Consider the following 27,125-nt stretch of genomic DNA (forward strand, 5'->3'; position numbering starts at 1 on the left):
ACCACCATGCCTAGCTAATTTTTGTATTTTTTATGGAGACGAGGTTTCACCATGTTGCCCAGTCTGGCTTTTTATTTGCTGATAGCTTCCAGATTTTTATCTCTTGCTTCGACTTTTAGCCCTAGACTTCATACTTCTATCTCATAATTGGATATCTGATAAGTATCTAGAACTTTTCTCCAAAATTGTGCTCTTGTTCTTCCCGAGCCTACTTCTCTTACAGTCTTTATGATCTTAGATAATGACTACTCCTTATTTTCTAGTGAAAACCCTTGACATTACCTTTTATATCAAGTTTTTTAGCAAATTCCATACAGTGCACCTTCAAAATTTATTTAGACCTTCTTGCTTTTAGATTGCAACAATGTCACTGCTTCTACTCTTGCCTCCCTGGAATCTGTTATCAACATTGGAGGGTTACCTTGTTAAATAGCAAGCACATCATTTCTGTGCTCAAACCCTTGGTGCTCTTGTGGTTTCCCATCTCAGTTAAAATCTGAGTCCTTAAAATGACTTAAAACCAGCATCTGTGTAACCCCCAATGCTAAGCATTGTTTCTTTTATCTCATATCCTACTCCTCCCTCTCTCACACTCTGTTCCAGCCAAATAGGCTTCTTAGAAAACACCAAATTCACATTCTTGCCTCAAGGTCGTCTTCTTTGGTGTTTCCTCTGCTTAGAATAAGGGTTTTCCACAGATAGCCTCATAACCTGTTTTCTCATCTTCAGATCTTTTGAATGTCGTTATCTGGGTGGGCCTTCCCTGGATACCTTGTTTAAAAATGCAGCCCCTTTTATACATACACACATATTTACATACACATTCTCTCTGCCTATCCCCATTTCCTGCTTTATTTTACTCTGTAGTACTTACTGTCACCCAACTATCAAATATATTTCACTTTTTTACAGGCTTCACCTGTGAGCCTAGAAACCTTTGTTTGTTCAACTGCTGCGTCTCCAGTGCCTGGAATAGTACATGGCACACAGTGTATGCTTAATAGAAATTGAATGAATTGAATGCTTAGACTTTATATAGAAAATGAAATGAAGATATATATTTGGTTTTATATAATTTATATTTTTAGAAATCTATTATTTTAGACTTCGGAAAAAGAATTCTGATCTGGGAATTCCTTTTTATAATTGCCTGAAATCTTTCCTTGAGACACACAGCCTGAGTGCAAGCATAGTGGTGGTGCCCCAACTCCTGATCTTTGACTTTGCCCTCATTTATCACCTCAATGTAGTAACATGGGGTGATTTGACATAGAAGGAATTCTTTACGAAAATGTAAAAGGTAGTTGATGTGTTGGTTTTAAGTCTGGCACATCACCAGGGATAGAGCTGTGGGATAGAGGGAAGACCTGAAGTAGTGTATGTGTGTTGAGCAAATCATGTGTGATGCAGGACCATCTACTCCTTGCTTTTTTACGGCAAACCCAGTAGGGAATAAAGCAGATTTTATTCCTCCTTTTTTAATTGACACCAGATAGTGCTGTGACAATTTTTATCAGCAGGTCTTACATTTATAAAATTGGTATGTAATTCTCAGCATTTAGCTAAAATAGTCATGTTAACAATATTGAATTAACAGGTATTTTAAGAAATAAGTTTTGAACAGAAAGAACTATAAGAAACAATTATTAGAAATTGCCAAAATCTATTGTAAACTAAAATAGTGTAATTTGCTTTTGTTTATGAAGGTTAAATATGAGTGCCTGGCAGAGGAAATTAAAATAGGAGACTATTACCTGAGATTACTATTGGAGGAAGATGAGAATGAAGAAAGTGGATCAATTAAGAGATCGTGAGCTACTCTGTATATCCTGTCGCATTTGTTTTCACTGTTGGTTTCATGGCTATTTCTATTGTGAACTTTTTTTTTTAAAATCTAGGTATGAATTTTTCAATGAGCTTTATCATCGCTTCTTGCTCACCCCAAAAGTAAACATGAAGTGTTTATGTTTACAAGCCCTTGCTATTGTTTATGGCAGATGTCACGAAGAAATAGGACCTTTTACAGATACCAGATATATCATTGGAATGTTAGAGAGGGTAAGGATATCATTTAAGGAAATTACTATTTGATAGTGTCACTAGGGTATGTGTTAAATTTTAAAAACTAAATTTAAATTCTGTTTGATCACATTATTACTGTAACTTTCTGCATTCATTTTTCTGTAATTTATACTTATTTAAATCTGAGTTAGATGAATAGGAAAATGAATAATGGGTTAGAATTTGTCCATGTCACTTTATGTGTTTCAGTTACTGTTTTCAAATGACTTTAGTTGACCTACTTGTCAGTCTTTAAGTATGGATGAGTTGGACAGGTGTATAAAAGAAATGGTGACTTGTAGAGTTGTATGTACCTTTGATTTTCCATTTTGGAAAAATCTTAATTGATGCTACCATACTAAATTTAGAAGTGTGAAGATAGTAAAAACCTTTTAAAACTACAATGCTACCCTTCCAAAAAAGAAACCTTGAGTTAGCACTCTACAAAAAATTTTATACAGTTTGTCAAATAAAAAAATTAGTGGACGTGGTGGCATGTACCTGGTGGTTCACCTGGAAGTGGGAGGATCACTTGAACCCAGGAGGTTGAGGCTGCAGTGAGCTGTGATCACACTCCAGCCTGGATGACAGAGCAAGACCTTGTCTCAAAAAAAATTTTTTTATTTTAAGAATTTGTCATTTAACATTTGAACATGGTGGAGGGGACAAATTAATCAATTCATCATGCAGCTCATTTGATTGCTGCCTGTTTGTTGCAGTGTATATGTTTTATACTTTCTTTTGTGTTTACATCCTTTTACTTCAAGTATCATTTGGACCAATTATTTCACTTACATTATTTCACTTACTTCAATTTTTACTTATCTCCTTAAAGCTATATATTAATCTGATGACTTTAAAATGTCTGCCTTTCTAGGGAGATTAGACAAGTTATATAAAGAATGTAATTTTCAGGATTCATTAAGGAATTGCAATAATTGACAGATTTCTATGATTTTTCTCCTTAATGTTTATAAAATGGCATTACTTCTTATGGGCTGTTGGTTTATTTTGTCTAGTAATAGTAATACCTTAATTTTTATTTCTATTCACTTCTGACCAGATTCTCATTTATTTCAATAGTGCACAGATAAACTTGAACGAGATAGGTTGATTCTCTTCCTTAACAAGTTGATCCTTAATAAGGTACAGTAGTTTCGCATACATACATTGTTATTTCCAAGTCATATAAGTATGTAAGATAAACTCACAGTTTGAGTTGATTATCCAGGGAGTGTTCTTTTCTGTCTTCTCCTTTTTAGACAGAAAGTTCTGTGTGCTCTAATCTCCTGGAGGGAGAGGTTTTTGTCAGTATTCCCTGTATAGTCTGTCTTAATATTGTGGGTGCAGAATGAATTAATGATAATAAAATTCTGAATGACGAATAATGGATGACTTTTAATACATTAAAATGATTTTTAATAATAAAAATTAGCTTATTTTTCTTTAGGGACTCTTTAGGGTTAAATTTTAAGTAAAATATATGCTTGACATAAAATGGAAAGTCTTTATCAGTGTACATTTTGTTGATAAAAAGTAATTGGAAGTTATAAGATTAGTCATTTTACTCTGTATTTTCTTTTTAAAGACATTTTAATAGGTTCATGCTCATTTCAAACAAGAGGAATTCACAGTTGTAATATATAACATTAATTCACAATTTATGTTGAAGTGTAAGCGGATTTTCATTTCTTAAAACTTTGATACTAATACCAATTTGCATAGTTTTATTCTTAAGTAATGCAAATGTTTTAAACTGAAGTGTAATTATAAGTACAAAGAAATTTTAATTGAAATTATAGTCTCTTAACTTCTAAGAAATTACCAGTTAAGTTTATGAAAACAAACTGGAACATTAAAAGATTTTTTAATATAGCAGACTTTATTTCTGATATAGAATAATCTGTTTATTAAAAAGACCTTGACAGAATAATTGTAAAACCAGAGGTTGTTTTTTCCTCAGAATATATTTAAGTAAAAATTCTTAAGTGATCTCTTTGTAATATAGTTTTGCCCTTTTAATCAATTGGAATTCAGGTTCCTTGAACACAAAATGCTGAAAAGACCAAGTAATACCAGTCGTATCACTTATTTCCAAGGACTCCAAACATTCTTTTCTTCGAGGACCTTGTAGGTGGTAGTACCTATTGGGAAAGGTACTATTGGGATAGGTTTTAGGTTATGAAAAATGTTTAGATTACGAAAAAAATGTTTTCCTCTTCCAGAAAAATGTTAAGGATCTCATGGATTCAAATGGAATAAGAATCCTTGTGGACTTGCTTACCCTTGCACATCTCCATGTAAGCCGAGCTACAGTACCACTGCAAGTACGTATCCTTGTTTACGTTTTACAAATTTAACGTTCTTTGAGTATAATTTTAGAGGCAAAAGAATCATAGAAATCTGAAAAGATGTGGTCACACACTTATTTTTCCAGTAATTACAGTAGTACTAGTTCTGAGATTTCACACAGAAGATGTGAAACCACTGTAAGAACGATCCAAAATGGACAGTAACGATTGAGTTTTATTTTGTCAATTAAAGTAACTGTATCTCTAATATGGCTTATCTTGAGGCAATGTGACTTTTAGGATATAAATTGAATTCATTAGATATGTAAATAGTACTTTTAACATTGGCAAGCAGTAAGAATATGCTTTGCCTTAAAGGAGTCTGGACACCTTCTTGATACCAGCCAAGAGGACTGATACTTAACTTATAGAAGAATCTATCCTTAGCTCATTTGATGTTTTTGGTGTTTTAATTTCCTGATGTAAGGAGATGTGTCATGTTAGATTTCGTGTGAATTGTGACCGAAAGTGCTATTTGAGTATTTAGTATATGATGTATTCTGTTATATACCATTACAACAGGTACTGTTCTGGTACACATACAATACATTAACTTTTTGAATCCCCCAACAGCCCTTGGAGGTGGTTACTATCCACATTTTATAGATGAGGAAACTAAGGAACACAGAGGCTATCTTGCCCAAGGTCACCTGATAAGTGGCAGAGCTAGAGTTAAGACCCAGAAGTCTATATGCTCATAACAACTTTGCTGTACCTCTCTATATGAGTCTAACTGAAAGCTGATAATTATGGCAGTATTTAAAAACATGTTATTTCATTCTCAAGGAAGGTGATTGTAAGAAAAAGAACAGGCCAGGCACAGTGGCTCACACTGGTAATCCCAGCACTTTGGGGGGCTGAGGCGGGAGGATCACTTGAACTCAGGAGTTCAAGACCAGCCTAAGCAAATTGGCAAAACCTGTCTTGACAAAAACAAAAAGCCAGATGTGGTGGCACACACCTGTAGTCCCAGCTACTTGAGGGGCTAAGGCAGGAGGATTGCATGAGCCTGGGAAGTCAAGGCTGCAGTGAGGCATTTTTGTGCCATTGCACTCCAGGCTAGGTAACAAAGTAAGACCCTGTCTCAAAAAAGAAAGACAAAGAACATAACCATGTTGTGATAAAATAACCCGACTACATAAAAATTTTAACCTAGATTCTTGTAAAACATTGATAGAGAACATTGTAAGAATTATTTGTAGTAAGGGTAATAGGTATTAAATTGAGACTATATAAAACCACTGAAAACTAACTTTGCTGTTAGCATTTTAATGCTTTGATCTCAGATACTTATTGGAACTCTTAGTTGGAGTGAGTTTTTCCCCCAAAATAACTTTAATATTTTGAGCATTGTTGCTTAAGATTAATGATACGTATCTATTTACATAACTATTTGCAATATTCTTTGCTACTAAAATCTTAGTGTCCTCGGTATTTATTAATGACCATGGGGAATGTAGATGTCACTGAATTTAGCTTAGATTGCTGAGTGTGAACTTAAGAAACCATTTACTTCAAATGTATATTAATAAGGAAATAGTTTTTTTGGACTGTTAGGTTAGGCATTTTGTCCTAAACTCTTAAATCTTAAAATAAGGTCACTTAAACTTTCAGGTTAACTTTTAAAGGGATATAAACCCCTCCAAAGTACTGCTGTGCAACTTTGTTTTACGACATCTGGTCTTTTAGATTTCTGCCTTGGAAAATAATTTAAATCTTTTTTAAACTTAGAGCAATGTAATTGAAGCTGCTCCAGATATGAAAAGAGAGAGTGAAAAGGAATGGTATTTTGGCAACGCAGACAAAGAAAGGAGTGGCCCGTATGGATTTCATGAGGTATGTATCTTGGAGATACTTTTGGTGAAGGTCTCAGCATTTCTTATGCCCTCCTGCTTAGCACTTACAGAGGCGTGGAATGTTTTAAAGCTGTCATTTAAATTCCTGTTATTAGCTCCAAGGGCCCTGCAACTCAGTTTCCACATGAAAAATGGAGAACCAAACATACATATAAAATTATGCCTTCAAACCTTGTTTAAAAGCTGTTGTTATGGAGATAGCACTCAGGTTTTTAGTGATTTTTATGTAATAATTTCTGGCTGGGTGTAGTGGCTTACACCTGTAATTCCGGCACTGTGGGAGGATCGCTTGAAGCCAGGAGTTCAAGACCAGCCTGGGCAACATAGCAAGAGACTATCTTTGTTAAAATAAAAAATAATTAGCTAAGCATGGTGGTGCATGCCTATAGTGTCAGCTACTTGAGAGGCTGAGGTGGGAGGATCGCTTGAGTCCAGGAGGTTGAGACTGCAGTAAGCCATGATCACACCACTGCAATCCAGCCTGGGCAATGAATAGCGAGACCCTATCTCCAAAAAAGAAAAAAAAAAAGCTATCTTAGTACTTACGTCAAACTATAATGTTTCTATATGGTATGAATAAGTAAGTTTTAATATGCAGTCTAAAATTCATTGAAAATTATTCAGTCCAAGAGCTAAGGACAGTTTTCCTCTTTATCTTGATACTTGATCCTGCCTCTGATCTTCAGCCTCCCAGGCTCATTTCGAATTGGGCAAAGATAGTTTTATGGAGGACCAACCATTCTGCTCTAGTATAATTTGATTATTTAGCACCCCACCTGTCATTTTTACTCTTTCCAGTATTCTTTATGCTCTGCAGGCTGGCCAGGTGGTGGGTTTTTTGGTTTTTTTTTGTATTAACCAAATTTGGGTTCCTAAAGGCCTGTCAACAAAACTTATTTTTTCTGAAATAGTGTACTTACATGTTTGTTTCATAATTTAGTATGTATTTACTATAAAGTAGAAAACACTAGTGAGGTTTTTCATTTTATTTTGTCTGTTTGTAATAATGCCTTCCATCCATTAGATGCAAGAATTGTGGACCAAAGGAATGTTAAATGCAAAAACCAGATGCTGGGCTCAAGGCATGGATGGATGGCGACCACTTCAGTCCATACCCCAGCTTAAGTGGTGTCTCTTAGCCAGTGGACAGGCTGTCCTGAATGAAACTGACCTTGCTACCCTTATATTGAACATGTTGATCACAATGTGTGGATATTTTCCAAGCAGGTAAAATGTAATTGAATGTTTCCATGGTTAATTGATATGCTTCCTTAGTAACAGCATAGAATCGGTCTGGTGTTTTAAAACAAAGATGTCCTATTTATGGCCTTGGAGGAATGCTGTTTTGACCTTTGGAATTTTTTGAAACAGATATAAAGAATTTGCAAATTATATTAATAAAGTTGCTAAAAAAGCAACTTTTTCTGGGAGATTTCAAATAATGTTACAAAACTGAGACTTACAATAGTAACAATTTTATAATTTATGTGAATTGGTGTTAATGTTTTGAATTACATACTGCAGTCCATAGACAGTGGTGAATGCCAGCTGTTGATCTGACACGCTAGCTATTTCTGCTATAGAAGGCAAGTGTAGGCCCACGTCTTGCCCCACTTGACCAGTGAAGGTGAGAATTTGTTCTCCAAGTCATAAGGATAACACTTGCATGTAACTTTTTAATCTTTATGAAATAATTACATATAAATCATTTTGATTCATTACTGTACTAAAGATATCTTGTGATGGAAATTACTGAGAAACTGTAACATTTTAAAACACTTGAAGTTTTCATGGTTCCAGTTGGACTCAAAATTATACAGTTAGTATTTAGAAATAAGGTAGCATTAAAATTAAAGCTATACTTGGAAAATACCAAACATAGTTAAATCAAGGTTTAAATTTATGTAACAAAGTTTGATAAGCCCTTTGGGGGAAAATACCCACTGACAGTGTGTTGAACAACACCAAGTTTAATCAATTAAATAATAAATAAGAGTCTTTGGCTCTTCTAGGGTACTGTTTTTCAAGGAAATCTTATGGAAGGAAATGAAGTCATATTAAGCAGCCAAATAGATTTAAACCAAAATACCTAATCATGTTCCCAGCTGTATGAGAGCTTAGTCTTCATTAACAAAAAAGTAAGGTAACCTGCTTCATGCCTAGTAGAATGTCGTATGCTCTGAACATACAAATTTTAACAAATATATTAAATGTTGACGTGAGAAAATGTTTTCTAGGGATCAAGACAATGCCATCATTCGGCCTCTACCCAAAGTGAAAAGACTGCTGTCAGATAGCACTTGCCTTCCCCATATTATTCAGGTGAGTTATGTAATCAAACTAGGAGCAATTTTAAGAATCATTTTCTCTGAATTTTATTATCAGTACCAGTCTTTGTTTTGTTGCAGTCTATTCCATTTTCAAAAAGCCTAAATAGGCCAGGTGTGGAGTCTCACACCTCCAATCCCAGCACTTTGGGAGGCTGAGGCGGGAGGGTTGCTTGAGTCAAGGAGTTCGAGACCACTTTGGTCAACATAGGAAGACCCCATCTCTACAAAAAATAAATAAATAAATAAAGTAAATGGCCGCCAGGCATGATGGCACATGTCTGTAGTCCCTGCCCCTTGGGAGGCTGAGGTGGGAGGATTGTTTGATCCCAGGAGTTTGAGGCTGCAGTGAGCTGTGATCATGCCACCGCACTCCAGCCTGGGCAACAGAGCAAGACCTTGTCTCAAAAAGAAAAGGAAAAGGCCTGTACTTTGAATTACATTCATTTCACTTAATTTTTTATTTTTTTTTATTTTTTTGAGACAGTCTTGCTCTGTTGCCCAGGCTGAAGTGCAGTGGCAGGATCTTGACCCAATCCAACCTTCGCCTCCCATGTTCAGATGATTCTCTTGGCTCAGCCTCCCGAGTAGCTGGGATTACAGGCATGTGCCACCACACCCAGCTACTTTGTTTGTATTTTTAGTAGAGCAGGGGTTTTGCCATGTTGACCAGGCTGTTCTCAAACTCCTGGCCTCAAATGATCCATCCACCTTGGCCTCCTAAAGTGCTGGGATTACAGGCATGAGCCACTGCACCCAGCTATTTCACTTACTCTTGAGTTGCTGAATATGCTGTGGAAGATTGAGCCTAAACATGAGAAGTTTCTAGATTCCAGAATTGTGCTAAGAGAGTTTTATTTATTACCTATTTTTAAAATCACACCACTTTAATATCTGAAAAGTGATTTATTCCAGTTTGTGGTGTATGTTGATGTTGTTAAGACTACTGGGAGGTACACCAGCAGGCCACAGGGGTGGACTTGGTGGTTCATATCTTAAGAAGTAATCACAGCAGTCTTACTAACTTCTGCCGTAGATTTTGACTATTCTTAGTTATGTTTTCATTGATACCAATGATTCAAAGCATTGAGTTGGTATTAATCTAGGATACACCAAAATATCTTTTTCTTTTGCATTATTCTGCTTTTTTGGAATTAAGCTATTTAAACTTCAGATTAACATTAAACCCAAATAAGTCAGGTCCTAGACATTTCAGGCAAATGTTTCTATTAAGTTGTATGCCAGTGACTTGTGCCATTTGTACCTTTCAGTTGTACATTGGTCTGCAGTGGGAAAGAAGAGTTAACTCAGTTTATATATTTTTACATTCACTTATTTACTACCTAAATGCTTATGTAAGTCATTGATGCTGAAAAAGACTTCTAAATACAGTAATGCCCTATCCTTTTTTTTTTTTTTTTTTTTTTTTTTTGCCAATTTCTGTTATTTAAGCATACTCACATTTTAACATTTCTTTGCTTTTCTTTTGTGGACATTTCCATTCGTATCCTTCAGTGAAAAAGCACTGCAATTATTGAGGGCTCTAAACTATTACCACATCCCCTTTCCTGTGGGGCCATGTGGCTGCATATGTGAGGTGATGCAAAGAGAGGAATTTTTTCTCCCTGATAGACCCTCTCAACATGTGGATAAAACACCACACCCAAAAGATCAACCGCTCCCATTTTTCTAAGTCTTACGAAACTGAAAGGAAAAAGTAAATACAAATGGCATTAAATTTCAGTCTAGGAAGGGATGATTAAAAAACTTTTAAGAAATGTGCTCAGCATAACATGAAGCTTGGGGGAGGGAGGCTTTCTTTTAATTAACCAAAAATTTTCAGTAATATCTGAACAAAGTGATTAAAGATACTTATATTGATAAATCTAGCTTCGAACAGTGTGTGACTCCTATTTTTTTATATTGAGTTCAAAAATTATTTTTAAGAAGTTATTTTTGTTTTTCTTTTAATTTTTTCTATTCTGGGAGACCTGAATCATGCCAAAGCACAGTTAGGTGGCTATAGTAGTTTCTGGGAATGTTATCTTCATCGGTTGGAAAGGGATATCTGTACTTCATTTGACTTTAAGAGCAGTCATCATTTTTACCATCTGATAGAGCTTCAGAATTTTTAGAGTAATCCAAAATACAGTGAGTAAACGTTCTAGGTTTTCTAGTATAGTGATAGTTTGAAATACTCTAGGTGTGTGTCTGTGTGTGTGCTGAATAAATGTTATAGGTTTTCTAGTATAGTGACAAATTGAAATACGGTGGGTAGTTGGGTGTGTGTGCGTGCTTGTGTGGGTGTTTGCCACTAATTTCCGTAATGTCAAGTCTTGAACTACTGCCATTAACACTAGGGAAAATTCTATATGACTGTATGTTTCCTTTTTAAAATATGTAATAGTATGAAACGCTTAATCTAAATTCCTTGTGGAATAGATAAGACACCAAAGCATAGAGAAATTTAAGTTATTTACTTAAAAGACCCATAGCTGTTTAGTCTCACATATGAGTATAGAACTTTGGCCTCCTAATCTGAGCTACTTACTCTCTTTATTGTAAATTAATTAATTAATTTTATTTATTTATTTTTTGAGATGGAGTTTTACTCTGTCGCCCAGGTTGGAGTGCAGTGGCTCAATCTCTGCTCACTGCAACCTCCGCCTCCCGGGTTTAAGCAATTCTCCTGCCTCAGCCTCCCGAGTAGCTGGGATTACAGGCACCTGCCACCATGCCCGGCTAATTTTTTGTACTTTTAGTAGAGACGGGGTTTCACCATGTTGGCCAGGCTGGTCTTGAACTCCTGACCTTGTGATCCGCCCACCTCAGGCCCCCAAAGTGCTGGGATTACAGGCGTGAGCCACCATGCCTGGCTGTAATTTTTTTTTTTTTTTTTTTTACTGGGAGCATTTGACCCCGAATTGAGGATTCATTGGAAGCAAGTGTTTTATAGAAAATTGGAACGACACCTTTATTAAGCTTCGTAGATAAAACTTATTAAATGTTTATCAAAAGTTTATTCATAGCAATTCTGTATGGTTTTTAATTAGCCCAGATTTATTAGAGTAATTCCAGAAATTCCCTTCAGTATTTCTAGCTCAAATTTCTAGAGGCCACATCTTTTGGTACTTCCTGGTAGCAGATGTACTACCTGATACTTGTTTACCCTCTTGCCTGTTACCTGCACTTCTGGATCTACCTTTTAGGCTGTTTTATTGATCATTATTTTCTGCTCTGCTCCTTGAGTTCTCAAGAAGCCTTCAGGGGATTCTTGTGTCAGCTCAGCTGAGTTGAAACAAACCGAGAAGTCTTTTTAGGAAGATTCTTGCACAAGAAGCAATGTTACCTGTAACATTATGACAAAACTAGCTTCAGGCATGTTTGGGCTTTTCTGAATACATTTTGATCAATTCTCAATTGATGTTCTGCATTAAATGTTGTAGAATGAATCATTTTTCAAATCTGTTGTGGGTCTGGTAGATGAGCTTACTGACTCCCATGGGTTTTTATTTTATAATTTACATAAGGAGCTATAACCTCAGCATATGAAATAAAAAACCTAAAGTGATGATGCAGGTTTTTTACAACCCAATAAAAACATTTTAATTTTTTTTCAGCTACTGCTGACCTTTGACCCTATCCTTGTTGAGAAGGTTGCTATTTTGTTATACCATATCATGCAAGATAACCCACAGTTACCCCGCCTTTATCTGAGTGGAGTATTTTTCTTTATCATGATGTACACAGGTTCCAATGTGCTTCCTGTTGCTCGGTAAGAACTTTAAGGGTAATCTATTTAAAAGTATTATTTGAATTTTATATGGACTGATTTAATTGAATTATTTGTGAGTACCTTATTGCTTTTATTAAAATTATAATTGTAAAGGCTATTTAAGTACATGTCTAAAGAGTTGGAAAGCAGAAGAATGGGGGAAAATTACTCAGAATTGTACCACTATTCCACATCTAGCATAAGAATGTATTATCTAGTATTTAAGTATGTATTTAATATAACTATATTCATATTGTACATGCAGTTTCACATTTTGCTTTCTTAAAGTTTAATAATTTTTTTATATTGTCACATAGCTTTAATATGACTACACTTTAAAAATCTTTCTAGTTCATTTAAGTTCTTGCCTTATTCAGAAATTAAATAATTTGGGAATATGGATTTATGTGAGTTGCCATTTGTGAGTTTTATTTAGCTATAAAAGATCTAGTCTTTAGAAAACTAAGGTTACAAAAACTAAATCGGTTTCTATATCTGATAGATAATTCATTTTTCTTTCTAGATTTTTGAAATACACACATACCAAACAGGCTTTCAAGTCAGAAGAGGTAAGCCAGGTTAATCCTCTGAATACTTAACCCTGGGTAAGCTGTTTTGGCACTATAAAGTTTCCTGAGCTGTGTATTATGTTTACTAGATTATAAGTACTTGAGGGTAGGTATTGTTTTATTCTGTTCTTACATTGTTTGTGGTACCTTGCACATATAAAGTCTAAGCTAATATTTTTAAAGGAAAATAAATGTTGCTGACTCATTAGACTTAATATTGAAATTGCAGCTATGAACTATAGCCTGACACCTCCATGAATATAAGTTGTTCTCTTTGTATAAAGTTTAGATTAGTGATTTTTGTAAATAATTCATTATGTACCTGAGTCTTACATCGTCAGCTAAGATTCAGGAAGACTTCAGCCTTTTTGTTCAGATCCCAAAGTGGCAGAAGTGCTAGGTTTCTTTTTTGAAGCTGCTCCATGTTTCATATGCTTTCATTTTACTGTGGGGTTAAGCTGGGAATTAAAAAAAAAAAAACTTATTTAGGTAGTTTTGACAATCTAAACTTAATGCCTACATTTTACAAAGAGATATTTATTGTTAAAATGAAACTGAAGGGTGTTTTGAAATATGTTCAGCTTTTCATGGAGCATGGATTTTTTTTTGGATCATATCAAGCAGAATAAGAAACCAAAACCAGACCACTGTTGAGAAGACTAACCAAGGAATGTTGCACCACCTTGACAATAGACACTAAATTATATGTTTTATAGAGCAGCCAATGAAGCCCTAGAAAGTAACCCATTTGTCTAATATTAAAGATGCCCATGGCAGCATAATTTCCACAGCTTTTTACAAATAGAAAATGAGAATATAAACAAGTTAAAAAAGTCTCTAATGATAGTACCTTCATGTAGTATTAGACATTTGGGCATTCTTTTTCTTCCTTTATTTCTGTGCCATTATGCATATTGTAATTTTTTCCAAATTTATTAGAAATGATTTGTATCATTTCAGCTAACAGTATTTTGAATAATTATAGCAAAACAGTGTTTATAGCACAAGTCTGGATGTATGAATTACCAAATAATAGTATTGAAGAATACAACTAGCAATTCTTTACCCAAAAGTTTAACAGATAGTGAATTTGTTACTCTTATTAGCAGAAAGCCTGAAAATATTCATCTTCTAATTTGTCTTTGCACCACATGATAAAACAATGTTTGGGTTTTTTCCCTCGTCTCTTTGTTTTATCCTAGAGAAGTAAAATGTCTTTAAATTTGCCTAGAAGGAAATAAGAAAAGCATTTATTTGTATAAATCCTAGCTAGCCCTTGGGATTTTATTTCCATTGAGTAAAGAAATGAGTTTAAAATTTAGTATGATCATTATCCTAACTCCATTTGGCCTGCCAGAGGATATGGACTTCGCAAAGCAGTTAATTATAATTACTTTAAGTAGAAATTCTCCATCTAAATCCTAGCTACATTTCATGAGGACAGGCTCTTAATGATCTTCTGAACTTATTTTTGAAAACAGAAGCAAGTACAGGTGGGACCTACAGCCAACAATATAATGCAGGATAATTGATGTAAATCTTCTTGGGATATTCCTTCTGTTATCCATTACTGTTACACATGGTCAAAGGCCAGTCGTCCTAAATAATATTGGCAGCTTGTGACACTTAAAGCTAAGACTGCTGCAGGGCCAGAGGCTGTTGGTTCTGCCTTAGAGCTCATGCCAAGCCAGTTTGTACCAGATACCTTCCAGTTCACATTTTGCTGTGTTTCCATCTACATTCCCAAAGCATAAAAGCAATTTGTTCCAATTGTGTTCTTTTCTTAAAGTGTTCTCTAACCATAAATCATTTATTAGAAAATTGAAAGTTAACTTTAGTGTTTTTGACTACCTTTTGTTTTGTTTTGTTTTGAAGACAAAAGGACAAGATATTTTTCAGAGAAGTATACTTGGGCACATTCTACCTGAAGCAATGGTTTGTTACTTAGAAAATTATGAACCTGAAAAGTTTTCTGAGATTTTTCTAGGAGAATTTGATACTCCAGAAGCAATCTGGAGCAGTGAAATGAGGTAAATAACCAGTTGACTGATTGATTTGTATTTTATAATTAAGTCTTTGCTGCTCGCCATCTGCTTTGACTTCTGTTAAAAGAAATGTTTTCACTAGGTTTATAATCTAAAATGACAGTAATCATTGATGCCAAATCAAATGATGGATTTTGATAAGGCCTTAAGGTTTTCTCTATTCTAATAAGATTTGACAAAATTGCTATTACCTTAATAGAGCTTTATATAATGGTAGGGCCTACCAACTGCTGGTACTTCTTAAATCAGTTTATAGAACTCGTAAGGTTTTAGGTAATGAACTGATAATATATATATAGGGAATTGGGGTAAAATCAAGACATACCTCTGGGTATCTGGAAGTAGGACTATACTCCCACTAATTAAAAGCTATGCCCACATAATTTGGATCGATGAATCAGAACAGAGATACCCGAAATTATTCTAGAATGTGGGCTCCCTTACCAACACCTTTTGTCCTTAATCTGGAGGTTAGCATTCCTAAGGTATGTCTTTGTTGGGGGGGAATGCCATAGGAGAAACCTGTGGAAACACAGAAAAAGGAAAGGCTCAGAAGCAGATAACAGTGCCCAGCCAGTTTCTGTTCAGAAAAGACTTGATACTTCATATTTCCAGTGTCAAGGCTATCTCTTTTTGGAGAACCCCTCAATTCCCTTAGCTAGATAGCATTAGATCTTCTATGTCAATTACTGACCCTCGTCAGACTGCACACACTCCATGCCACCTGCTTGTTATCATTTGACTTCTTGACCTATGGGCTTGGCATGTGTTAGCCAGCAATTTGAATATATTCTGTATGGCAGTCATATTTTTCATTGGGAAAAAATATATAAGAATATTAATAAATTAGCAACACAGTTCTTCTGTGTAATATTTTTCTCCTGAGATTGGCAAATATAAGGCCCCATCTAAAAGACGAATTGCTCTATGTGCTGATAAGTTTCTGCTTAGCTGAGGCCAGATCCTAGACTACAGTAAGTTAATTGAAATAAATACCATCTAGCGAGCTTCTTTGGATAATAGCCAGTTTCAGTTTCCTAGCTACACCCTCATGCATTCAGATGCTATACCATTTGCCCTTCTAATGGCTGATTTTTTAATAGGAAGGACTGGGATTATCAGCCCTTTTCTCTATGATCTTCTTTACAGATGAGTATCATAGATAAGTTTTTTCCATGTTTGTACAATAAAATGCCCAAAGTACCATATTTAAAAGCTCTCATTTTAGGATAATCATTGAGTTATTCTATAGATGATTCATGTAACTATCTTACATGATTATGTATCTCAACCTTCTCTTTAAAATAATACCTCATAAAGCTTGAATGGAGGTTTTTATGATTGTAGGCGCCTGATGATAGAGAAGATTGCTGCCCATCTCGCGGATTTCACACCTCGTCTTCAGAGTAACACAAGAGCACTTTATCAGTATTGCCCCATTCCTATAATCAACTATCCACAACTCGAAAATGAACTATTTTGTAATATTTATTACCTCAAACAACTGTGTGATACACTCCGGTTTCCAGATTGGCCAATTAAAGACCCGGTAAGTCAGCAGTTTAATTTGTGCCACCTTAAGCCATAAAAATAGCCTCTAAACACTTCTGGGTATTTTGTCCTCCTGCAGTAAGATGGTTAATAGCTTTCTTAAGTATTCCTTCTTAAGCACTAAGCACTGTGTGACTCTGAGTATAGTTTATTATATTTGGGTAGATCTCACACTGAAAGATAATTTTTTAAGGGAGTATTAAGAGTATTGCAATCTTGATCTTTTGTGGCAAAGACAAAACAAATTTCATGCAGATAACATAATTATATATATATAGTATTATATACTATAATACCTTGGTGGAAGCTTGTCTTTATAGCAGGTTGATTAAGCTCACAGATGTTGGAGTTAGCCAGTCTGGGATTGAGTTTCAGCTGGGCCATTAATATTTAATAACTCTTTAATATTCAGTACATTGCTTGATTTGTCTAAACTTCAGTTCTCATCTCTAAAATATTGGTAATAATAGCAGCTATCTGGTGGTGTTTATGAAGATTATTAAGAATTCACATAAGCATAATTCCTGGCACGCGTAAGAGGCAATGAGTGCGACCTGCTCATTGTAAAACAGTATATACACTGTTGGCCTGTCCAGAGTGCCCTTGGGACCCCCCTAACCTGAGTCTTTGTGTATCTGTGGGCACCTGTGCCCATGTTGTTCTGTTACTGTGGTGGAACTTATACCATTATTACCATCTAAAAGATTTCAGAATAATTGCCATTTATACTGCAAGTCACTGCCTCTTTACAATGCAGTGACCAAAAAAAGGCAGGTAGACTCTGGTACTTATTCAGGATTCAACATGAGATACTAGATACAGGCTTTTTAGTCAGACCTAGGTTTTAATCCAGCTCTACCACTAAACTGGGAAACATGCAGCTAGCTCTTAGAATCTCAGTGTTTTTATTTATTGATCAAATTTTAGACAAGAATTAAATTTGATAGTCTGTAAAGTACCTAGCTCCTTGGCACATAGGCAGGCAATAAATATTAGAGCTTTTTTTTTCCCATTTGCTAACCAGATTCCCTTGTGTTCTATCCGTTACATTTGTTTGAATGCTAGCATACCCATAATTATGTTAGATCACCTTGAGAAGCACACCACAATATACTGCTTGCTTTCTTACTACAGTGTATCATCTAATTTTGACGTTTTTCATGGTTTCTGGACACTTTAAAAATTAAAACTTTTAGGTTTTATCTTTCACCCGTAAAGATAACATGTAAAAAAAAATAAATCTTAATTCTTCCTGGGTTTAATTTGAAGCCTAATACATAACACAGATTGGCAGAGGATTTAAAAAATTTTTTAAATAGAGGAATATTGCCTTGTAACAAATACCTTGCTCTGCCCAACTATACAGCAGTGCTCAGGTGATTTTGGTTATTTGTATTTCAGAAAGCTGTTAATTGGACAGCTAAAAGTATCCATTTAAATAAATACAGCACAATAATTCTATAACTTAAAAATTATACTCTGAAATAGTTTTACTTTGATATAAATTTTAATCTTTTGTCTTTAAGGTTAAGCTTCTAAAAGATACCCTTGATGCCTGGAAGAAAGAAGTAGAAAAGAAGCCACCTATGATGTCAATAGATGATGCTTATGAAGTGCTTAATCTGCCTCAAGGACAGGGACCGTGAGTTGTTTTCAGTACAATAGCAAATGTCTGTCCCACCTTAAAGTACCAGTATCAAAGACTAAGTTATATTTAAATCAATCATTTTAAAATCTTTTGCCTATACTTTGATATATACACCTTGGGAATAACCATATGGAACTATATCTGTGTGACTTTCATTTATTGCAAACTTATTAGCCAAATTGTATCCTCCTCTTCTTGCTGGTACATTCATTTCTCTATTAATTGGAAAAATGTATGCAGAGTATCTGGCACCATATCTGACACATGGTAGCCATTCACATGTTCATTTTTCCTCTTCCTTTTGTAATTTGTATTATGCATGTGGAAGAGATTTGATAGCAATATGCCTAGGACACCAAATGACAGATTATGAAAGAATGCAGATTTATCTTGTTTATCAGTGAAGTTTTATAGTAGACTATGTTATGGAAAAATGGTTTGAAAACTTAAGTATAGACTAAAACTGTATATTTTGGCAAGACTGATATAATAACTTAGAATTATAGAATTTGAAATTGTCATTTTGGACATTTTGACAAGTTAGTGGATTTTTAAAAATATATTTTGTAGTTCTTCCAACTCAAATATAATTTTATAATTTGAAGTGAATGGGTAGGGAACTTTTAGGTTTTATCTTTCACCCATAAAAGTAACATGTTAAAAAAAAAAAATCTTAATTCTTTCTGGGTTTAATTTGAAGCCTAATATATAATCATATACAATTCTTGATATTAGATTCTTAAAATATCATTTTAGATGGTTTTGTAAATTATTTTTTCTTGTGCCTTACTATACTCATAAAACAATTTTCCTGTTTAACAGGCATGATGAGAGCAAGATTAGGAAAGCTTACTTCAGACTTGCACAAAAGTACCACCCTGATAAGAATCCAGAAGGGAGGGTATGTACTGCTGTTGGAATTCAGGCATTGGGCTTCCTCTTGCTCTATTATTATGTAGTTGGAGAAAAGTATATTACCTTCTGTGCCAGTATCTGCCTCATAATATATACTCAGTGTATGTTTAATAAACTTCTGGCCACATGCCCATAGTTTCTGCATGGATGATGCTCCCTCAGTTTACCAGACGAGTGGCCTTTATGACTAGCAACTTACAGGTTTTATTGTGTCTCCTTATCCATGTCTGTTTGAGAATTAACTCTAATGGGCAATCATAAGAATAATTGAAAATAAGGAATTCAGGGGAGCTTAATTCATTTGTAGGTTTTAGGTGATACCATTGCTATTCAGATTGCTTTGGGCAATTTATGTAATTTTTTCCAATGACATCCAATTTCATATCACTGTAACTGAAGAAACAGAAAATTTAGTTCAGATTTTAAATCATCATTCCCTGATGCCACCTCATCCAATGATGTTTCATAAACGATGAAATCACGTAAGAACCACCTAAACCAGGACTGATAGTCTATTGCTAGAAACTTGGAATAATTTCCACTGATTTCTGTTTTCACTGGAAACAGAACAGAGACAGTATTCCTGAATGAGAAGACATGACATTGAAAAGATCTGACTTTCATATGTTTAAGGTATTTTTAATAAAAACCCTAGGGGTTTTTTTGAGAACCTGATACTAATTCAAATTCATCTAGGAGAAAAAATAAGAATGGAAGAAATTTTGAAATCTTTTAAATTGCTAGACTTATCAGATATTAAAACACTTCATAAAGCTACAATAGTAAAACAATATGATACTGACACAAGAATCTACATATAGATAACTGAACATACAGTGTAACAGTTTAAGAGCATGGAGTTAGGAGTACCTCTTAGCTCTGCCACCAGTTGATTTTGTGTCCTTAACCAGGTTACTATCTCTAAGTTGCAGCATCCTCATGTAAAAAATGAGGATGATAATGGTACACACTTTACATGGCTGTTTGAGGATTAAGTGAGATTATGGCATTTAGCACAGTGCTTAATAAACAGTAGCTCATAATTTTTGTTATATAGACGCAAACTCTCTCTAGTATGTATGAGTTTAACATGATGTATTTAAGGATACATTTAATATTCTTATTTGAAGAATTTTCAGTAAATGGTATTGAGATCATTAGACAACTATTTGAAAAAAAAATTTCACCTTAACAGTATACCAGCTAGATTACAGTTGGAATGAATACCTTAATATAAACAATAAAATAATAGCTAAAGTTACTGATAAAATGCAAACCATATGTCTTGTTTAAGTTGAATTTTGCGACATTCCAAATTAACGTTAAATTATCTTCTGTTACATACAGGACATGTTTGAAAAAGTAAATAAAGCATATGAATTTTTATGTACCAAATCAGCAAAAATAGTGGATGGGCCAGATCCAGAGAATATAATTTTAATTCTAAAAACACAGAGCATCCTCTTCAACCGTCATAAAGAAGGTAAGATGTCTGTTCTCAGATTTTAATTTATCCTCCAGCTAACCTTATCACAGCTAACCCTATACCATATTACCTGTTTCTACAGCATATTTAATAGATTTAGAATTATTGTTTAAAAGATTCTTGGAATTATGTTTTAAATAAAGGAAAATGTAGTTTTCTAAAGAAGGGCCCAAATATTTGTTTTATATCTTTCCCTTCATAACTATGTTTTTCAGTATTTTGCATTTCTGACATCTTCGCTCTGTGGAGTTACTTGGTTAGTTTTTGTGTTTAGCCATTTAGTAGCAACGTGTTAAATGAGACAGAATGGAATCTGGAATTTAAAGATCATTTCATGTTTTCTTAAATGGCATATGAAAGCCTATCATAACTTTAAAAGCCTCTGAAGGTTAAAAACACCAAGAGCATTCAGATTTTTTAAAAGCAGTAGAAACTTTTCAAATGATGATATACTTCTCATACGTTCTATTTCCTATTGTAGCTCTCAGGACCCTCTAGTCCTGTGGGACAGTTTGAAGAACACTGGTATAGATGAAATAGGTGTAATTTCAGATTACAGGATTATCCAGTGTTTGTGGGGCCATTTGCAGTAGCCCTAACAGTAGCAGTCAGAAAGCCAGGAGTATGTTCAAAACATCCCCCTTTGTTGGGGATGAGGGGTTAGGTTCAATATGGCAGATGCCCAATGGCTTGGGAACTGAACTTGACTTACAGCACAAAGTGGGAGAGCCATTTGCTATGGTATGTTGGGAGAGAAGGAAGAGGACTTTCAGGATTTGAGATAAGCATGGAGAGTGTTGGGTAACTAAAGACAAGAGATGGTGTTGCAGTTTAAGTATTGGAGGGGACAACCTGAGGATCTAGCAGTTGGATTATTAAAGAGAGCAGTGATTAGTTGATTTACTTTTACATGAGTTTAACAGAATACGTTTATAATACATTTTAGATATATGGCTTTTACTAATCAGAATGAGTTTGGAAACCTTTTTCAAAACCCTTGGTTGTCTTTTAATGCTGATAACTAAATTATTAGCCACAAGATACAGTTATGGCCCATCCTGGTTTCTCTGTTATCAAGGTCATCTTTAACTTTTCCCAAGAGGGGTTTATACCCAAGAAGCTCTGAGGTGGAGGTCCTGATCTGACAGGACTTAGTTATTCACTGTTCTTTCTTATTACGTATGTGTCACTTTTTTTTTTTTTAAAGGAAAATTAGGACCTGTTCCAGGGGGCCTTTTTTTTAAAAGCCAGTTTAGAAATGAGTTTTAAGGCAGATTATTGGTCAGCCTCAAAAGTCAAAAAGATTTATGCTGATTTCAATTGGAATTATAGAGATACTTTTAAAGTCACAGCCAATTAATTTGCATCTCTTTGCCTAATAGGTTAGATTGAAAAAAGAAGATGGAAAGAACAGAGTAATTAGGCATGTAGGTTTACTAGCTTTCACTTTTAAATTTGGTTATTAAAACATGGAATTAACTAAATGTAGTTTAAAAGTTAACTTTCTGTTTTGTACTTCTAGTAAGAAATTGTATTATTTTCAAATTTAAGAAAATACTGGTAAAACTTTAAGATAACTGGTAAAATAGATACCAGTTATCTTTAAGATAACTGGTAAAATAGATACTGGTAAAATAGATAAACAAGGGCACTTGTTATCCAGAAAACTTAATATAAAATATTCAGTGTCATGTAAATGTCTTCTCAGTCTTTTTTCTTTATAAAGATGTGCATATAATTGATATTAATAGAATTTCTGGTGCATTTGCTGTACCTTGCGTTCTGTGATGAGGTGAAAAGTTACAAAGATCAGCATAGAAAGTAGGTATTCTGCAAAGGATCAAAACTATACACCAAGTGCAGTTAATTTACCAGAAAATGTTATTTTTCTAGTGGAAACATTTTAGAAAAATCAACCAAGTTTACTAGAAAGGAAGGATCCAAGGGATTTTATAGTAGGTTTAATTTCTTTTTTTATCAACTGGCATTAGGAGGCATTTAAGATGTTAAGATAAAATATTTTATCTTTTTTTTTACGTTTTATTTTATTTTATTTTTATTTTTTTTGAGACGGAGGCTTGCCCTGTCGCCCAGGCTGGAGTGCAGTGGTGCCATCTCCACTCACTGCAAGCTCCACCTCCCGGGTTCACACCTTTCTCCTGCCTCAGCCTCCCGAGTAGCTGGGACTACAGGTGCCTGCCACCACACCCGGCTAACTTTTTTGTGTTTTTAGTAGAGAAAGGGTTTCACTGTGTTAGCCAGGATGGTCTCAATCTCCTGACCTCGTGATCCACCCACCTTGGCCTCCCAAAGTGCTGGGATTACAGGCATGAGCCACCATGCCTGGCCCCATTTTTATTTTTTTAAGGCAACATATTCTTGAACATGGTATCAAAATTGAAACCACAACATAATCAATTTTGTTTTGTTTTTCTAACACTAACCATTGGTTATTTCAGATTTACAGCCTTATAAATATGCAGGATACCCCATGCTTATTCGGACTATAACAATGGAAACTTCAGATGACCTCCTTTTCTCAAAAGAATCACCATTGTTGCCTGCGGCTACAGAGCTAGCTTTCCATACTGTCAACTGTTCAGCCCTCAATGCTGAAGAGCTCAGAAGAGAGAATGGACTAGAGGTAATACGGAGTGACCTTTGTGCTTTTTAAGCCAGTTTACACACATTATATGACTCTTGGCAGTGAAGAATTCAGCAAGTACAAATGCAGATTCTTTAATTTATTTCAGCAGATAACACAATATTTTCCATATTCTTATACCAAATTAAAGGTAGAAATGGAGCTTTATTTCACAATGTGAGTTGGAAAGTATTGGGTTCAAAACCGATAATGGTAATATTGTTTACAAAGTAGCTTATTAGAAATGCTTAAAAGGAAACTTTTAGGAGTCCTTTGTTTACTATTTATTAACAAATGTTGATCAAACATTTATGTATCAAATATTTAACATTAAAGGGTTATTTATATTTTATTACTGCTAGAAAAGGCCTTTCAGACTTGAAGTCAAAATGGAGAGTTAATAGCTGACTTCTTCCTCTGCAGGTGTTACAAGAGGCATTTAGTCGCTGTGTGGCTGTCTTGACTCGTGCTAGTAAACCAAGTGACATGTCAGTACAGGTGAGGCTAAAACCTGTGGTTCCAAGAAAATTGCACTAGTTCAATGGTTCAGACTTTAACATATCTGAGAATCAACTGGAGGGCTCATTAAACTGTAGGTTGCTGAGCTCCACCCCACCCCAAGTTTCTGATTCAGTGAGTCTGGGGTGGTGGCCTGAGAGTATGTTTTTATAACAAGTTTCCAAGTGTCATTGATGCTGCTGGTCTGTGTATCACACTGTAAGAAACTGTACTAAAGCACTTGTGATCTGTTGGCTTACGTTTTCTTTCTTAGAGAATAGTTTATTGAACCCATATGTTTCCATTACCCAGCTTAATGCCATTCTTGTTTCACATATCTTCCATCCCTCACTCTCCTATCTCTAGTATTTTAATTGGCTTAACATTTAAGGTTGTAAGATAGGAAATTCATCAGGAGTTCATTAAGAGCTTTGTAGAGCGTGTCTTTCTATTTGACCTTTTGCTTATGCCAGCAAAATTCAGAATATAAAACGAGTACTGGCTGTTGAGTTCCATCCTCTATTTTGAAGTCCGTTGTGTAAACAGAATTGTGATATTCTGCTATGTTAATAAACTATACAAAATTACCTTAATCCAGAGGCCAGCAAACTTCTAAAATAAAGGTCCAGGGAGTAAATATATGAGTCTTTCAGGCTTCATACAGTCTCTGTTACATTTTCTTTTGTGACTTTTTTACAGCCCTTTAAAAATCTAAAAACCATTCTTAGCTCTTTGGCAGTACAAAGACCATGGTCAGTTTGGCCCATGGGTTGTAGTAGCTGTGGTTTGCCAACTACCCCAGCATTTATAGGAAATCTTAATGAGAAAGACTAGTGATCTAGTAAAGACATTCTGTTTAATTTTGGAACATTGTATATACCATTAAGCATTATTCACAAATTTCTGCTGGTTTGATTTCTATGTGTTAAATAAGGAATGCCTATGTGACTCTACTGGTTTTTTTGCTCTGTTGTGTTGTCTGCAGGTGTGTGGATACATAAGTAAATGCTACAGTGTGGCTGCTCAGTTTGAGGAATGCCGAGAGAAGATCACGGAAATGCCTAGCATCATCAAGGATCTCTGTCGGGTACTATATTTTGGCAAGGTAGGGTTAATCTTTAATGCTTTCTAGATACAGACAGCAAAGTGTCTTTTTGTCAACTAGCCAGTTCCTAATGTATAAGCACATTGTTTTCCCAAAGTTATTTGTAAGTAAAATTATTTGGATTTCTAAAAGCATTTTTCACAGAAGCCTTGCTGTAAATGGAGGCTTTGCTTCTAGGCTGGCCTACAAAGAAAAAGACTAAAGTGATACATCTAAAGGGAAGTGGGTTCCATCTGAACATTAGAATGAGTGGCAGGGAGAAAAGAGAAGCCTGTAATAAATAAGTCTTTTAAAAGCAAAAGGCCAGCCCGGTGTGGTGGCTCACGTCTGTAATCCTAGCACTTTGGCAAGCCGAGGTTGGCAGATCACTTGAGGTCAGGAGTTCAAGACCAGCCTGGCCAACACTGCAGAACCCTGTCTACAAAAAAATACAAAAATTAGCTGGGTATGATGGCATGCGCCTGTAATCCTAGGTATTCGGGAGGCTGAGTATTTGGCTGAAGAACAAGCAACTCCAGAAAATTCAACCATAAGGAAAAGTTTAGCTGGCATGCTGACACCCTATGTTTCTGTGGCTAGTGTGACTGAGATATATGCTTCAGAGGTAGCCTGTGCCACTACACTCCAGACTGGGCAAGAGAGTGAGACTCTGTCTCAAAAAAAAAAAAGAAAAAAAAACAGGGCCATGTAAAACCTGAAAACTAGAGAGTTCGGCACTGCTTGGTGGGAAAGGCTTTAGAGATCTGAGAACTTACTATTTCCTCCCAATCCAGACCTGCTGAGGAAGGTTGACTGTGGGTAGATGAGATAGATGACTGGGAGGGAGAGAGAAATGTCTTAAATAACTGGGCAGAGTGAGAATTGTCTTGAATAAAACAGGATCGAGATGCTGATCTAGTACTAAAGTATCAAGAAGTGAGGGAATTGATGAAAATATCTCCTCTACTATATCTACTTAATGTCCTTAGAAGTATTTGATTACAGAATAAAAAACTGACATAAATAAATCTTTTAACAACTGCACAAAATATGTCGTTACATTTAAGATCACTAGCGTGTAAGTTGCTATTGATGCCATGTCACTATTTTTAAAAATTAAAAATACAAGAAGTGAAACAGGAAACTATTCCCAAGTCTTCTGACATTAGCCTTAAAGGTAGTAATTCTGGTATCTCGTCATGAGGTCACTTTTAATTTTAGGCTTTAAAGGATGTAGGATTCAGATTTAAATTGGAATTGAAAATGTAAGAAGAGGTAAACATTTTACAAAATAACGTGGTTGGCTTGACATACATGCACAACCAGTTCCTCTTGGGAGCTTTTTTTTTTTTTTTTAACTCTGTAACAACTAATGCTCTCATTTTTATTCTCTCAGAGTATTCCCCGCGTAGCTGCTCTTGGGGTAGAATGTGTCAGTTCTTTTGCTGTGGATTTCTGGCTACAGACACACCTATTTCAGGCTGGAATTTTGTGGTATCTCCTTGGTTTTCTGTTTAATTATGACTACACACTAGAAGAGAGTGGCATTCAGAAAAGTGAAGAAACAAACCAGCAGGTAACTTTAACATTGCTTTAATATTGAATTTGAACCCAAACCTTAGGTTGGTGTTAAACTAATCCAAACCAAAGCTGCTATCCAGAGTCCCCAGAGATAAATTGTTTTTCAGGAAAATTAGGTTTTTTGCTTTTTAAACCTAATCACTTACTTACAAAACTTTTAGTTGTAATTGCTTATGCTTAAAGGATTCCAGGCAAGGGAATTTGCAATAGCATATACTGGACATAATTTAATAATTTCTTAATTACTCAGAGTCAACTTTATGATGGCAAAATTATGGTTGTGTAACACAGGACAATATAATGTTACCATCAGGCAGTTGAGGCTAGCTCCCCTAAACACTTGAGTACTTGTCTGATTTTTATAGATATTTTTCTGTCTCTTCTATGTGCTCTCATTTATTGCTCATATTGTAAATGTGTGCTTCTAGCAGGCAGGGCTGCCTACCTATCCCCTACTCCCCACATTACCACCAAATGTGCTTCTTCCAGTTGTCTGTGAGATATACTGCATTGGGTATAAGTTAGTACATAGATTCTCCTGGTCCTTCTTATAAATAAAAAACAAGCCCCAACACATAAACTTTCTGATGTTTACCTCAGTGGTAGGTACTCTTGTACCCTTTTGTTGGTTGACTTTTTACTCCTTAAATATGTTCCATATAGTGTGATTCTGTAAAATTATAGTATTACCTATGTAAGATAACAGATCTACTTTAACAACTTAATTTTTTTTA

General features: G+C 35.1%; 1 protein-coding gene across 4 annotated transcripts in view; it reads left to right on the forward strand.

Moving 5' to 3' along the window:
- DNAJC13 (DnaJ heat shock protein family (Hsp40) member C13) overlaps window positions 1-27,125 on the forward strand; it is a 121,531-nt gene that overhangs the window by 58,581 nt on the left and 35,825 nt on the right. For all 4 annotated transcript variants that reach the window (NM_001329126.2, NM_015268.4, XM_047447819.1 and 1 more), the window contains 18 exons: window positions 1,707-1,810; window positions 1,899-2,058; window positions 3,145-3,207; window positions 4,287-4,388; window positions 6,144-6,248; window positions 7,293-7,495; window positions 8,506-8,590; window positions 12,216-12,370; window positions 12,894-12,939; window positions 14,815-14,969; window positions 16,332-16,533; window positions 18,062-18,177; window positions 19,006-19,084; window positions 20,446-20,581; window positions 23,044-23,228; window positions 23,652-23,726; window positions 24,712-24,831; window positions 26,207-26,386. In NM_001329126.2, the coding sequence (NP_001316055.1) occupies window positions 1,707-1,810; window positions 1,899-2,058; window positions 3,145-3,207; window positions 4,287-4,388; window positions 6,144-6,248; window positions 7,293-7,495; window positions 8,506-8,590; window positions 12,216-12,370; window positions 12,894-12,939; window positions 14,815-14,969; window positions 16,332-16,533; window positions 18,062-18,177; window positions 19,006-19,084; window positions 20,446-20,581; window positions 23,044-23,228; window positions 23,652-23,726; window positions 24,712-24,831; window positions 26,207-26,386 (2,271 nt within the window). The remainder of the gene's footprint in view (window positions 1-1,706; window positions 1,811-1,898; window positions 2,059-3,144; window positions 3,208-4,286; window positions 4,389-6,143; window positions 6,249-7,292; window positions 7,496-8,505; window positions 8,591-12,215; window positions 12,371-12,893; window positions 12,940-14,814; window positions 14,970-16,331; window positions 16,534-18,061; window positions 18,178-19,005; window positions 19,085-20,445; window positions 20,582-23,043; window positions 23,229-23,651; window positions 23,727-24,711; window positions 24,832-26,206; window positions 26,387-27,125) is intronic.

The sequence above is a fragment of the Homo sapiens genome, chromosome 3 (genome assembly GCF_000001405.40).
Source record: "Homo sapiens chromosome 3, GRCh38.p14 Primary Assembly".
Taxonomy (NCBI): Eukaryota; Metazoa; Chordata; class Mammalia; order Primates; family Hominidae; genus Homo; species Homo sapiens.